At 32.2% G+C, this 15,206-nt stretch overlaps 1 protein-coding gene across 4 annotated transcripts in view; it reads left to right on the top strand.

Annotated features, from left to right (window-relative positions):
- LRP1B (LDL receptor related protein 1B) overlaps positions 1-15,206 on the top strand; it is a 1,899,594-nt gene that overhangs the window by 1,352,293 nt on the left and 532,095 nt on the right. For all 4 annotated transcript variants that reach the window (NM_018557.3, XM_017004341.2, XM_017004342.1 and 1 more), the window contains 3 exons: positions 2,486-2,626; positions 7,718-7,843; positions 9,380-9,511. In NM_018557.3, coding sequence (NP_061027.2) covers positions 2,486-2,626; positions 7,718-7,843; positions 9,380-9,511 — 399 coding nt within the window. The remainder of the gene's footprint in view (positions 1-2,485; positions 2,627-7,717; positions 7,844-9,379; positions 9,512-15,206) is intronic.

Raw genomic sequence — 15,206 nt, 5'->3', positions numbered from 1 at the left:
TACACCAAAACTCAACACCTGTTAGTTTCTTAAAGGTGAATAGCAAAGAGCATATCATTAAATTTTTATTTCCTCTCATATATAATGTATTGGCCTAATTTTCACTACAAATTAATCATTTACTATGCATGATTTTGGCTCAGCTTGTGTTGTTCATTTGAAAAACATTGCTTCTTTCAGTTATGTATATCTTCCCAGTGTAGACATGTTTCATTATACCATATAAAAAAAATGCATTCATGAATATTTCCAGAAATCTCATTAGAAAAATTTTTAGGTATTAGGAAGCTGTCAGACTTACGGTATTGAGAGAAGTTTTCCAACACTCTAATCTTCATTTGAAAGCTTTAATTTTATCATTGAAAATAAATTATCTCAGTTTTCTTATATGACAGTTTTTATATTCCATTCATTTTTGAGTAAACATCTTTTAAATATTGAACTCTGAATAGCCATAGTCTGTCAGTCATTCTTCAAAGATAAAATGATGTTCTATGAAAAAAGTAGCTAATTCTTTTTGCAGTTCAAGCAATCTCATAAGACATTCCCTCCAGGCAACTGTATGTTGGTAGGCAGCAGAAGGACCTTATGCACTTTTCATTTTGTGACACAATATTAAAATGTCATGTCCTAGCTTTAATAAAATTAATAGTTTTTATTGATCAATTAAGGTAATTTTTAAGTAAAACTGGCATTTTTTTCCCCCTGTGAGTGCATGGCAGTAGTGAATTCAGTGATTCCTAGTACAGTTTAATGCTACTGGGCTTTCAAAACAAATATTCTACTAATCTTTTTTTTACTTTTTTCCTACCATTTTCTGAGGTTTCTTTGGTCTTTTTTCTCTATATTATGGAAGGTTGCCTCTACCATATTTTCTGATCATTCTATTGAAAAATACTTCTTGGTAGATTTTTTAATCTCTAAAGACTCTTCTTTTGTAATTGTTCATTTTTTACAGCATCTTTTACTTTCTTGAGGGGTATATGTACTAGAATCTCTTGAGTATGTTAATTAGATATTAGATAATTTAAAACAAAAGGATTTTTTCTAAATTATTATTTGTGCACCTATGTTTATCTTAGTGTTTATTTTTCATTGTGCTACTATTTCCCATTGAGCTGGAGATCCTTGATTTCCTGTGATGTTTAACAAAGAAGGACTGTTTATCTTTCATGGATGTCTTTTACCTTTATGAGAGTAGAAGTCTTTTCACTTGGTATCTTCCTTGAGGGGAGTTCTGCAAGGCATTCGACACTGTGACTTGTAGGTTTAGTTTCAGGAGGGACCTGGGGGCCAGGATTTGATTCCCATGAATGCTAGAATGAAGAGAACTGTGTTGCATGGCACCAGCTTTAATATTCAAAACCTCTTCACTGAGTATCTTAGAAAAGAGCTGTGGCTAGTTATTTGACACTTTTTATCAGCTGTCAGCCCTCTGTGAGCTAGGGGCAAAGGGCTAAGGAGATGGAGGTGGTATTACATGTAAAAATATCTTTAATTGCCCAAATAGAGTTAAATAACCTTATTTTAACTTCTAGGTAGAAATTGATTTGTGGTCTCAATTTGTGGCCATTAATTCTATTCTTCTTGATAAGTCTAAATCATTCAAATCCTTTTACATTATAACTTTATTTTAAATTACTGCATTGCCTTAAATGTTTTAAAGCCTCTCATGGAGTCTTGGAAAGAACACAAGTTTTTCAGATAGGGAGATGAAATATGTAAATTTGATTAAGTTACTTAATCTTCATAGAGTCTCAGATTCTTTATAAAATGAAACAATAATCATTTCCTTACAGTTTTGCTTTCACAATTTGAAATAATACAATAAGAGGGGGAGATCTCTATTTTTTTATCTGTGGCACACTGTAGATTCTCTGATATCAAATGAACACTCAGTAGGTGGTACCGGTATAAATTAATGCAATTTTGGAGAAAGGGTCACTAGAAGAAATAGAGAAGGTTAACAATTGTGAAGAGACCGGTAATGGAGAGCACACATGATCAAAAGCTTACACACTTTTAACAAATAAAAAGTGGGAGAACAATGTATATTTTATAATTGTTGTTTAGATATTTTGTTAGATTTTGCCATTTATTTACAAATACGTATCGTACAAAACTACATGATTATGTTTAAGTATGTAAATAATAAAAGCTGATTTTATATTAATTTGAAATACGCTTTTATTTACATCTATATACTTACATGTTATGTAAAATATAAGAATATTATATATTCTTTTCTAAGAAAAAGAAAAGTTAAATTGAAGAGTCTAACTGTAGAGGAGGAGGAAAGTTTGAACAATAAAATGTCACTACGAGCTGCATTTTTAAATGTGACAGTGATTTTACTGTTTCCCTTAGAAACAGAGTTTGGAAATATAACAAAAGAAATCAGAGAGTATTATAGTTTAGTAAGTATTTATTATTATTTAATAAGATAATTATACTTTCCTTTAAAAAATATCTTTCCTTTTTCTAGATAAGAAACTGTGGTGGGCAGACCAAAACTTAGCCCAGCTAGGAACCTGCAGCAAAAGAGACGGAAGAAACCCCACCATCCTACGGAATAAGACTTCTGGGGTAGTTCATATGAAAGTCTATGATAAAGAAGCACAGCAAGGTAAATCACACTAATGAATTTGTGCCAGGTCTTGAATACGTAATGTGCTCTTTTTTATATTAGCTCCTCAATTCAACAATAAAAGGTTTCTATTCTTGCTTCTAATAAAAACAGAGAAAAAAGGAAAATGTTGCTTACTACTGTAGGAGAAATGTCTTTAATATAGATGCATAATGAGCTTTGAAAGCATTAGCAAACCTGCCTTAGGAGTCTTAATTTGTCAGGTCTTCAAAGAGGTCTTATCCTGTTCTTGACTAAAAAAATACAAGAATAAGAAAATATATCCTGGCAAAATATATACAATGCATAGTTAAGCCCAGAATCTGAATGAACTAGGGGACTTCAAATGGACTACATCAACAAAAGAATTCCATATCCAAAGCACTACATTGTTTGGCTGTAATCATTTTGCTTTTTTGTTTTTGCTTGTCCAAATTGTGTGCAGTGAAATGGAGTGAGAGAAATAACAGATGGTTTACATAGGTAGACTTGTCACACTACCCAAATGGCAAATGGATTAGAGATGGCAGCCAGTACAGCCCCACATCTGCTAGTCCTTTCTTACTTTTTGCTTCATAATCCATGACATTAGCACAATTCTCTTTCTAAAAAAAAAAAAAAAAAAAAAAATCAACCAAAAAAAAATATACTGTACTTTCATACATTAGTCTCTTCCATGAAAATCCTTAGCTTCACATACTTTTCTTAGGAAAAGTTTTCCAGAATGATTTTGAACACTAAGATAGGGATTTTCATCTAAAGGATTTGGGGTATGTAGACTAAAGCAGAGAAGAGCAGGGGTAATAATAGAAAACCAAGGGGATTGCTATTTCTGCAGATAGGTAATGACCATCAAGCAAGCAGCATTTATTGAACATACCAATTGAGAGCGCTGCCTGCACATCAGGAGATAAAATGGAGATCAGATTAGGATTTGCCTTCCCTGTACAGGGATTGGGTCACGCTGGTTTGGAATCTTTACTTGCCCCAAGCAGAAGAAAACATATTACGTATTCATAAAAAATTAATAACTTTAGAATAAAAAATTGCTTTAAACATTTATCTGAAGTATTTATTGCATTCCGTTCATTGTTGAGAATTTATGAATGTTCATAGATTCACATATACAGAACGTATGTGCACCCAAGAGAATGTATATACATACATATACCTGAGAACGTATAACCTGAGAATGTATATAATACCCAAATGGTTATCTGTTTGTTCTCTGAATTTTTGGGGTCATGTCCACAATAATAAACAAGGATATTTTTCACTAGCAATTCAGTAATGAAACTTTTTCTGTATCAAAATAATTGTACTGCCATTCAAGTCATGGGAAATAGATTACGTAATTGAGAATAAAATACTGGTACTCAGTAAATAAAACATTGAAACATTTTCTGATTTCCATAGAATATAATTATGTGTAAAAACTCACAGTACTATTGTAAATCTCAGTGAATAACGCATACATATGAGATCGTATCTGAAAACATAACGTTAGAAAATATGACAGAGAGAGGGAAGGTGTGCAAGAGAGAAAGAATTTCCAAACAGAGCATTTAAAAATATTTACCCACTTTTCCAAACTGTGAACAAACATATGCTTTGTTTTAAGCTGTAAATATACATGTCAAATTTTCTAGATATAATTCCAATGAAGTTTTTAGGGGGAAACATTTACTATATGATGCTCAGTGTACTTTACTCCTGTTAACAAGATTTTCCTCATCTTTTAAAGATTTGATTCTATAGGTATAATTGGGTGTTCTATGCTCTGTGAAAGTATTGCCAAATGAACAAGGACCTCTAGCACTTAGAAATCAATGGTACAATATGACTAAACTTAAAATTTAAGCAATGAAAATACCATTTTTACTAGAATATGCTGATAAAAGCATCTGTATTAAAGACAATCCCATTAACAGAATTACTGCAGGTAGCGTAAAAGCTTCATTAGTATGAAATATGACCAATTTAGGACTCTTTAAGGTGTTAACATCACTACCTATTTGGATTTCAAAGTACAATTAGTGACTTAATATATCATTTTTGACAAAGATCACTGGAGAGTTGAGAATTCTTATTAATCAAGTGGACTTTCTAGCTCCACTAGAGATTTGGGGCATGAGGTTTCAACATCAATATCATTATAAATTATTAAGCCAAGCTAGTATTTATAATTTGATAGATAATATAAATTTAAACATAAAACAAAAATTTGTTACATAAATTATTACCTTTCAATTTTACTATATTTTCTACTTTATATTTAACAGAAAAAGAACCTTATTGTAACTAAGAATTCATTTCATTATTTTTTACTTTTTCTCTCCTTCACTATTAATTTCTTCTTAGAGACTAAACAAAGGATATATGAAATGTATATGGTTAGTGTTTAACATTAATTGTTGAAATATATTTTATTATTTATCAAAAATATAGTTCTCTCTATATATCTGAATATTTATCTGAAATATTATATATAATACTTATATATGGCTATTTTTGCAATTATATTAAAAATATACAGCCCCAGACCCAGAAGGTCCTTTTTTTCACGTATTTTTGCTATTATCAAGGCTATGTAACCCCTCACATTCTCTTATTTATTTATCTATTTTTTGAGATGGAGTCTCACTCTGTCACCCAGGCTGGAGTGCAGTGGCACTATGTCAGCTCACTGCAACTTCTGTCTCCTGGGTTCAAGCAGTTCTCCTGTCTCAGTCCCCCGAGTAGCTGGGATTACAGGCACTCACTACCATGCCTGGCTAATTGTTTTTGGATTTTTTAGCAGAGACGGGGTTTCACCATGTTGGCCGCTCTGGTCCGGAACTCTTGACCCCAGGTGATCTGCCCTCCTCAGTCTCTCAAAATGTTGGGATTACAGGCGTGAGCCACCGCGCCCCTAGCCACATTCTCTTATTTTTACAAGTACATGGTCTTTCCTAACCTATTTCTCTTTACTTCTTGTTTTTTGTTTGTTTGTTTGTTTGTTTGTTTGTTGAGACAGTCTCACTCTGTTACTTGAGCTGTAGTGCAGTGGTATAATCTCTGCAGCCTCTGTCTCCAGGGTTCAATGATTCTCATGCCTCAGCCTCCCGAGTAGTTGGTATTACAGGTGTAGCCACCACACCTGGCTAATTTTTGTTTTTTCAGTAGAGATGGGGTTTTGAGACAGGCTTGTCTCAGAGCTCCTGACCTCAAGTGATCTGCCTGCCTTCACCTCCCAAAATGCTGAGATTACAGGTATGAGCACTGTGCCTAGCCTCTTCAATTCCCTTATTTCTCTTTCTCTCCAAATGTTCTTTCAAGCTCTATAGTTAAGTATCATCTGCGGATGTCTCCCCAGCCTTTCAGTCTTGGTAGTTGAAATACATCTACATCTCAATACAACTCTCTAAAAGATTGGCATTACATTAATATACCCATGCTTTCTACAAAATGAAATATGTAGATTGTCAGTATATAACTATTATAAATCTAGGCTGGGGGCAGTGACTCATCCTGTAATCCCAGCACTTCAGGAGGCCGAGGTGGATGGATCACTGGATGTCAGGGGTTCAAGACTAGCCTGGCCAACATGGTGAAATCCCATCTCTCCTAAAAATACAAAAATTATCCAGACATGGTGGCAGACCCCTGTAATCCCAGCTACTCAGGAGGCTGAGGCAGGAGAATTGCTTGAACCTGGGAAGCGGAGGTTGCGATAAGCCAAGATTGCACCACTGCACTTCAGCATGGGCAACAGAGTGAGACTGTCTCAAAAATAATATATATATACATACATACAAATATATATATTATAAATCTATAAATATAATTGTTTCATTATTTGATAAATGAGAGAAACAAAATTTCATCTTAATGTTATACATCAGCTTGGAAAAATGTGGAATGAATCAGTTAATTTTTATTAGTTTATATAGGATAAATGTAATCATTTTAAAAGTTCAGGGCCATATAATGGCCCTACATAAAATGGATTTCATCAGTGGCCAAACTGGCAGATACAGGACATGAGCAGCGAATGTGGTACATCTCCTGATGAGAAATCTCCCAAGTTGAGAGTATTTCACACTTCAAAAATGACAGAGCTCATGACAGGTTCGATTGAACAATTAAATCTCATCAGACCATCTTGAATTCAGAAGAAGAGAAATAACGAGCTGCATTGGTATTTTGAAATTTCCACAGAGAACTATTGATATAGAGCTTTCATCATGCTTTGTAATTCTCACTGGATTTGTTACACTTCATATCAGTGCTTGAACATCCAGTAAATGGCATTGCATGCTCTAGAATAATAAAAAAAGATGTAAAAATGGGATTTTTAATGAACTTTCTGGGTAAGATTGTAAATTACTTAACTTCCCACTACCAGCATTAATTAGCACACTGGGCCTAGTAAATTCAATGGAACATCTTCAGCAGGGATTCTAGAATGCCTATCTGTGATTACCTGACTAATATTTGTCATTGGTACTGTACAGAAAGAAGAGGAATTAATATGCCAATTAATTAGATGATTCTTATGGCTGTGTTTTTCATATATTTCGGGAGAATTATATTTCTATGAATGAGAAAATTTATTTCCCTGCTTTTAAAAATTAATTGAATACATATACACATACATACCTCCTTTCTTTTAGACGCATAATCTTTGAGTGGTTAGTAATAATTTAACAGCTATTTATGTGACACATTTGGATAAAATATTCTTGCAAAGGAAGTAATTGTAGAGTTGAAGTAAAATTTAAAAATCAAAAGAGAAAAAGATGCTGGTTTCTCTGATCTTAAAATATTACAAAGGTCTATGAAAATATTTATGACAAATCAATTTCCTTTTGCTTTTCTGTAACTATTAATCTTCTCATGTATGTCTGTTGACTTTTTTGAAAGGGAAAATTCAACAATAATTTACTACTTTAAATTATTCAAGAGAATAAAGCGTAATCTTTAACCAGTATGAAACAGCTGCATTTAGAAATCAATAGCATACATATTTGTCAAATTATTGACGTTAAATAAAACTTTATTTTTTAAAAATTTCATTAAAGAAATTTGTTTCATTTTCATTCTATGCAGGCAGCAATTCCTGCCAACTAAACAATGGTGGATGCTCTCAACTTTGTTTACCAACATCTGAAACTACAAGGACTTGTATGTGTACAGTGGGATATTATCTCCAAAAGAACCGTATGTCATGTCAAGGTATGAGTTCATGAAAAACCTTACCTCTGGTTCATTTACTTCACTAATCATTACATACCATGCAGATGTTAGGCAACCAAAGTCAGTTAAACATTAGAAAAAAATTAACTAGTTATTAGGAAATGGTATACTGTTTAGTCTCATATGTGTAAGATTTTAATATTTGAAATATTTAAAATATCATTGTTCTGCCTTATAAGACATTCTAATTTTTTAGTCATTTTAGCAACTGCTGTATATTATCAAACCTTTAACCAAATCTAGTAAAAGCTACCTTCGACCTGAATAGGCAAAAATTATAGTAAAAAGCAGTACTTGATTGGCTGGAATTAATGTAGAATTTGAACTAAGTAATGTTTACTTTAGACTATATTAGAGGAAGCACTAGAGAGAATGTGAGGTCTCAGGTTTGCATAACTGAGGGAGAAAAGCACTGTAAGAGAACTGGTACCTAAGAAATCTTCCTGTTTTGCAGTCTCTAGTTCTATTAGTCCCAAATAACTTTGGTTCTAGAATGATCTTTTATATCTAATGATCATAGGTTAATTTTTATCGTTAAAAATGTTCCAATCTTATTTGAGAAATATCTATATATCTATATATGTATTATCATTTATTTTATTTTAAATCCAATATTTATATGATACTTATGTGCATGGCACTGTTCTAAGCACCTTAAACGTATTAATTCACTTAATCCTCATAACCTCATGAGGTAGTTCTCTTATTATCCCCATTTAAGAAATGAGGAAACTGAGGCACAGAGAAATTAAGCAACTTAGGTTACATGGATAGGAAATAGTGGAAACAGATTTAATTCTAGGCATTCTAGTTTTAATAAGAAAAAAATATAAATATTTTCTAATATATTGGCAAAATGCATAAGCATTAGAGTGTGTACTTCTGGTAGTTAGCTTAATATTTATGTGCCTATTTGGGGACAGGCTTTTGATGCCAGAGAAGTGTGATATTAATAGCTAATTAAGCTATTGATGTATTCTTAGTATGACAAAGATTTATGAAGACTAACTTCAAAAATTTCTTAAGAAATCTAAATGTCTATTAAAAGTATCAGTGATACAGTTATCTTAAATCAGGTTTATTATCATATATAAGTAAAGAGATGTTTGGATTTTAAAGAAGAGGGAATAAATTTTGGTTGAGAGATGAGGTAGGCTTCCACAAATCATCTAACTCAGTGCTTATGAAAGTGTGGGGCCCGTACCAGCATCATCATCACCAATTGGGAGATTTTTAGATATTTAAATGATCAGGCTTCTGGGATGGGGCCCACTAATTCATTTTAATAAATTCCTATTTTAACAAATCATATGCATAATCAAGTTTGAGAACTACAAATCTACCTACCTTTCGTTAGTCAGGAAGTGTAGTACACAATAATTTTTTTAAAAGGCCAGGAAATACATTTGTTAACATAAATTAAGATTGTTAAAAATAATACAAATGAAATTATTTGTATTTTAAATATTCATTCTGGGCTTCCCTTCCCCCCCTTATCTCCGGCCCTGCATTTAGGTATAGAATCATTTCTTATGTACTCTGTTCATGAAGGAATCAGGGGAATACCTCTTGAACCAAGTGACAAAATGGATGCTTTGATGCCTATATCAGGAACTTCATTTGCCGTGGGAATAGATTTCCATGCAGGTAAATAGCTTTTTAGTCATAATTTATGCATAATATATTCACTTGATTTATTAAACATGATGGGAATACAATCTTTTCCTCTGTGCTTTAATAGTCAAGATGAGAAATAAGAAAGCAGCAAATAGATAAATATTAAGGCCAATCATAAATTATTCTAAATGTGTAGTGTCTGAAAAAAAAATCAAGTAAAATCGTCCTAAAGTATAGCATTTGAATTGCAATTGCCTTAACATACCACCATTGGCACTTGGTTGCTTATTTTTATTTCTCTCTCTTTTTTATTTTGATACTTTACTTTTATCTAGTTATAAATATAAGGACATACAAAGCATTTTGATCTATTATATACTAAAATATAACTTTATTTAAAATATATTCAGGATGTGATTTTCTATTGTAATACAAGCGGTGGCAAATGAAATCCAAATACTAGAAACAATTATACATGCTACACCACTGAAAATTATTGTTGAATATAGTATGTACCATTTGGAGTCAGATTTTACTTTACCTTCTGATATTTTAGCAAACAGTGAAAGGAAGCAACAGGAAGCAAAGCGGACACTAACATTTTGCTGCGGCTAATATGAATAAGTGATGGGGAATTAATGGTAGACACTGTTGAATTTACTGAAGTAAACAAGTTTTTTGGCGCTAATTGCTAAATTCTGACATAGCATAAATATTTGGTATTCACATTAACATTTAGATTTATTATCTTCAACTTGAGGGCTTAAACTTATCAAAATAAATGCTAAATCGTATGTTTTCTGAATTAATGTTTTAATGTTGAACATGTAAATGCATTTCCACGGTGTTTTTATATGTGTAAAGACTTAGTTTGATCTAATGTTAAAAAACAAATAGCTATTTGATTTATAATATTAAAAAAAAGAATCATTGTAATCTTGCACCAGCATGTGGGCTTCTGGTACAGTTCTAACACATTTTGTTTAATCATGTATTAATAAAACTCTGGACTACAAGTTAATGAATTACTGGGGATCTTCACAAATTGTTCAAAAATGAGTTTTCTTAAGTAGATTGTTTTGCACCAAATGTTTGGAATTGGATAGAGGCAAATGTTTAAAATCACCTTTACCAAAAGGAAATACAAAGAAGTATAACACATTTTATTAAGCAATATGTTAATTTTGCCAAAATCTCAGTGTGGTTTTTGATCAAACTTTAATCAAATCTCATTATTGGTGGAAGGCTAATTACCTCTACAATGAATAATCTACCTTGTCTCTTATGTACCTGCATTTTATTCTTTAGAATTTTATCATATAGGATTTGTTAAGTGCAAAACTAAGAAAATTTGAACTTTTAAAAGATTTTATGTATACAGTACATGCATGTATTTTTACTAGGTACATAGTCCTTTGCTTTAGCTGGAGCATATATTCAATTATTTTGAAGACTCCATAATGATTTTTGAAAATATTTGATAAATTTCCATGAGGAAAAAATATTAGTTAGCATGGCACATGTATACATATGTAACTAACCTGCACAATGTGCACATGTACCCTAAAACTTAAAGTATAATAAAAAAAATAATAATTAAAAAAAATAAAATAATATAAGCAATTTGATCTAAATGTCTTGATAAGATCATTAGGAAATCTTTTGCTTTTTAAGGGTAAATAGATCATCTGAATGAGTTAAATTCACTCTCCAAAGTTTACATTGGCCCTGAAATGGTTAAGTTTAATATCATGTACCATGATGGAGGATATGTTTATTTGCAGAGAATAGGACTTTCTGTTTCAAAATGCCCAATAATTATTAATATCATAAACTTATTTCATGTCAAAGTAACTTTTCCTAAGGAGAAGTTACCTGTTTTAGTTAAAACTTTGTTCTTTACATTTTGCCTACCATATTTTTATTTCCTGGGAAAAAGTTATTTTCAGAAAAGCTATTTCTTCTTCTAAATGTAAAGGGATGCAAGCATACAGAATAGTCATGTAGGTAGAATGTTCAAGAATCTATTAAAATCCCTACTGTTACTCAGAATACAGCAGTGAAAAACTTTCTTTAAAACCAAAGAAGGTTAGAGATCTACAGGCCAGTGAAACATAGTTGGAAGAAACCAGAGTTTAGCCACAGACAACCTGGGTTCTAATGCCAGCTCAACCACTAGTAGCTTTGTGACCTTGGGTAAGTTACCTAATTTTTCTGAGGCTCTGTTTCCCTTTTTGGGGTGTGGGCATGTTTAGATCAATGTAAGCAAATGTTTAATAAAGTGCCTGATATATGTTGGTGCTCAGAGAATGGTAACAAAAATATCAAATAAGTGGGAAGTAAAATATTGTAGAAATTATCATATGTTATATATATTATATATATATATATATATATAATATATATATATATATATATATTTTACAAAGATGCCCTGGAAGCTACATTTAAATTTCTAATTAGCTAGGATTTGGCTTTACTGTTCTCTCAACTGATATTATGTTTTCTATTCAGTTATCTGAATAGAAAAAAGGGTGTTTCTTCACTACTCTGGGGCAATAAACACAGGTTAATAAACCTCCCTTTTGAGGATAAACATCATCATCATCATCATCATCATCAGTCTGTAGAGCTGATGCTTAAAGATTAGATATCAGTAACTATTTATAATATTAAATGTAAATCTAAGAGGCTAACATTCAGTGCTTAGGCTGAACTAACTGAAACCCTAATGAAGGTCATGATGGTGGTGGTGCTATCAGGAGCTTTCCACTGCCTTTTTGCATAACTTGTGTTACTTCCATCTACTTTACAGTCTGATCCTTTATTAACTGTGTTTTATGAAAATATATTAGGATCAGAATAAGTGTCAGCAGCTTGATTTATAATATCTTTATAGTGGTGATATACAAGCTCTGTTACTTCTTGGAGGGAAATTAGAGAGAGAGAGAAAGGAAAACCTGGATTGTTCCTCAGAGAAAGAGATAAAAGAAACCTTTTTTGTTGTGTCAGTCTCTACTTGTTTATCTTTTTTTTTAAATCATGACCTTCATATTTCACCTGATTATAGGTTCTTTCTTGATTAATTTCTTTTGCAGATATTTTATTTCCTCTTCTTCCATTAATGACATTTACCCCAGGGCCATAATCTCTACATTAGGATCAAAGATAAAAATGACCAAATGGAAGGGCACAGTTGCCTCTTATTCTTTTTTTTTATTTTATTGTTATTATACTTTAAGTTTTAGGGTACATGTGCACAATGTGCAGGTTTGTTACATATGTATACATGTGCCATGTTGGTGTGCTGCACCCATTAACTCGTCATTTAGCATTAGCCTCTTATTCTAAACAAACAGCCCCAGTCATGCTAAGGAGATGAAGTGGAAGAGAATCATTGGCAAAGTACAAGTATCATAATTTATCAATACTATTTCATTACCATGATATTACAGAAAGAATGTATTCTCAAAACCTGTGCATTTCATAAGAATTAACAGATCTGAATCTTTCTGGGTTTGATTGTAATAAATTAAAGCTTTCTACAATGAACAAATTGTTTTTTCTACCAGATGAAGCAATTCTGGATACTCTCCACAGAAGAAAAAAAGACCCTGTGGCTAGATTTAAAATGTTCAAAGAATTTTTATCTCTTCACTGGAAAAGTTCCATTCCAGTGGAAAAAAACATATTGAGCTTTGAAAATCCTTGCCTGCTGGGTGATATTCCTCCTGATAAATGAATACTGCATTTGATGCTTTAACAGATACATTTTAGTTAGGAGAAAAGCCTTCAAAGCAAAGCCCATTGCTCCACTTAGTTAAGTGATCTTCACTAAGTAATGCTCTATTCAATATTCAGTTCTCCCTCCCCTTGGGGTACTTATGACTTCTCCTTAATAATGAAACAATTGGATGCTACTTGAAGAGGACATTCTACTCAGAATAATTATTCATCTGTAAAACTTCACACTTACATTCTTTTTTCATCTTTTATCTCTTTTATTGAAATTTGGGTCATCCAACTCAATGATGCAACAACTGATGGTTACTATAATAGCTACCAGGTTTAGAACTTCACGTCTAAGTTGCTTGGAAGATGAAGATAAACAAGGGTCCAGCTGCAATGGCTCATACCTGTAACCCTAGCACTTTGGAAGGCAGAGGTGGCAAGATCACTTGAGGCCAGGAGTTTGAGGCTAGCCTGGGCAGTATAGTGAGACCCTGTCTCTATTAAAAGAAAAAAATAAACACAGAATAAGGGTCATTATTTGGATGTCATTGTCTGGAACTTACTAGAGGAAATATTTTATTATTTTTTTACACCATCACATAGTAATCTGGCTAAGACAATAAAAACACTGAAGGAACATGTCAGTATACATTTACCTAAATCCACAGAATGTATAACACCAAGAGTGAACCCTAATGTTAACGATAGATGCTAATATAAACTATGGATGTGTTGGCTTAAATTCACCTGTGACAAATGTATCGCTCTGGTGTGAGATGTTGATAGTGGGCAAGGCTGTTTGTGTATGGCGGAAGGAATATATGGGAACTCTACTTTCTGATCAATTCTGCTGTGAACCTAGAACTCTAAAAATTAAAACATATTTTAAAAACACTGAAGGAGTATATGTGACAAAATATCATTGCCACGTTTATACAGTGAATGTCATCTGTTTATATGAAAGAATCCCTCTTTATTAGTCCCACGACATTCATATTTATCTTTGAAACATAGAACTAGAAGGAGTATTTGATACCATTTGTAGCACTCCCTCATGATACAGGTAAGGAAACTGGAAACCAAAGAGATCAAGGGGCCATATACTAATGGAGTATCCTACTCCCAGTTCTTTCCACTGTGCCGTCGTGCATTTGTAACCACTGAAGCAAAAGTTTATTTTGACCATTGTTGGCATTACTTGATGACACTACATTGCGCTTCTGCAAATTTGTGCTAGTAGAAGATCGTGTATTATTTTGATTTATATACTGAATCATGTGATTTTTAAACCCATTTAATAATTGAAGATAGTGACACTCAAATGAGTCTCTCTCTTTTTTATTTTCTATGCCTGGAAGCTTATAAAAAGAAACTATTTACAAAATTTTTCTAGTAACGACTTTGTCACCAACCAAGGCCACAGAAGAATTATAGAAAGAATTCTTTATATGTCAGTAGCAGCAATAGTTTAAGAAATATAATATTGTTGCTTTGGGACATTTTTTCGATTTTATGAAAACCATTTTCTTGGCTACAAAGTGAATTTTAGAGCTGCTTCAATTTCTTCTTGTTCTTGTGACAGTGAAACTAAAACTACTTTTTGTTGTCATTTCAAACTTTCTTCAATAATATATTTTTTAATCATGTGAACAGTGTGTATAGATTTGTAGGTAGTCAATTCAGTAAATCTTTCAAGATGTAATATCACAAGAAAATAAAAACTTATCAATACTACCTGAAATACAAATATCATAAACATGCATAACATAAGGCATTTTAGGTTAAGTAAATTACTGGAAATATCTCACAGATCCTTTTTGGGTAATTTCTAAATTCAAAACATGAAAACAAGCCCCTATTAGGCATTTAATTTATCAGTATGTTACCTGAAATTAAAAGCACAAGAAGATGCACAATGATCACCTACTAAGATTAAAACTTTGGTCAACTTATTTGAGATCTATATTATTTTCCATATTTTTGAGAGAATCTC

This window comes from Homo sapiens, chromosome 2 (genome assembly GCF_000001405.40).
Source record: "Homo sapiens chromosome 2, GRCh38.p14 Primary Assembly".
Lineage (NCBI taxonomy): Eukaryota > Metazoa > Chordata > Mammalia > Primates > Hominidae > Homo > Homo sapiens.
This window is presented reverse-complemented; position numbering and strand designations above follow the sequence as displayed.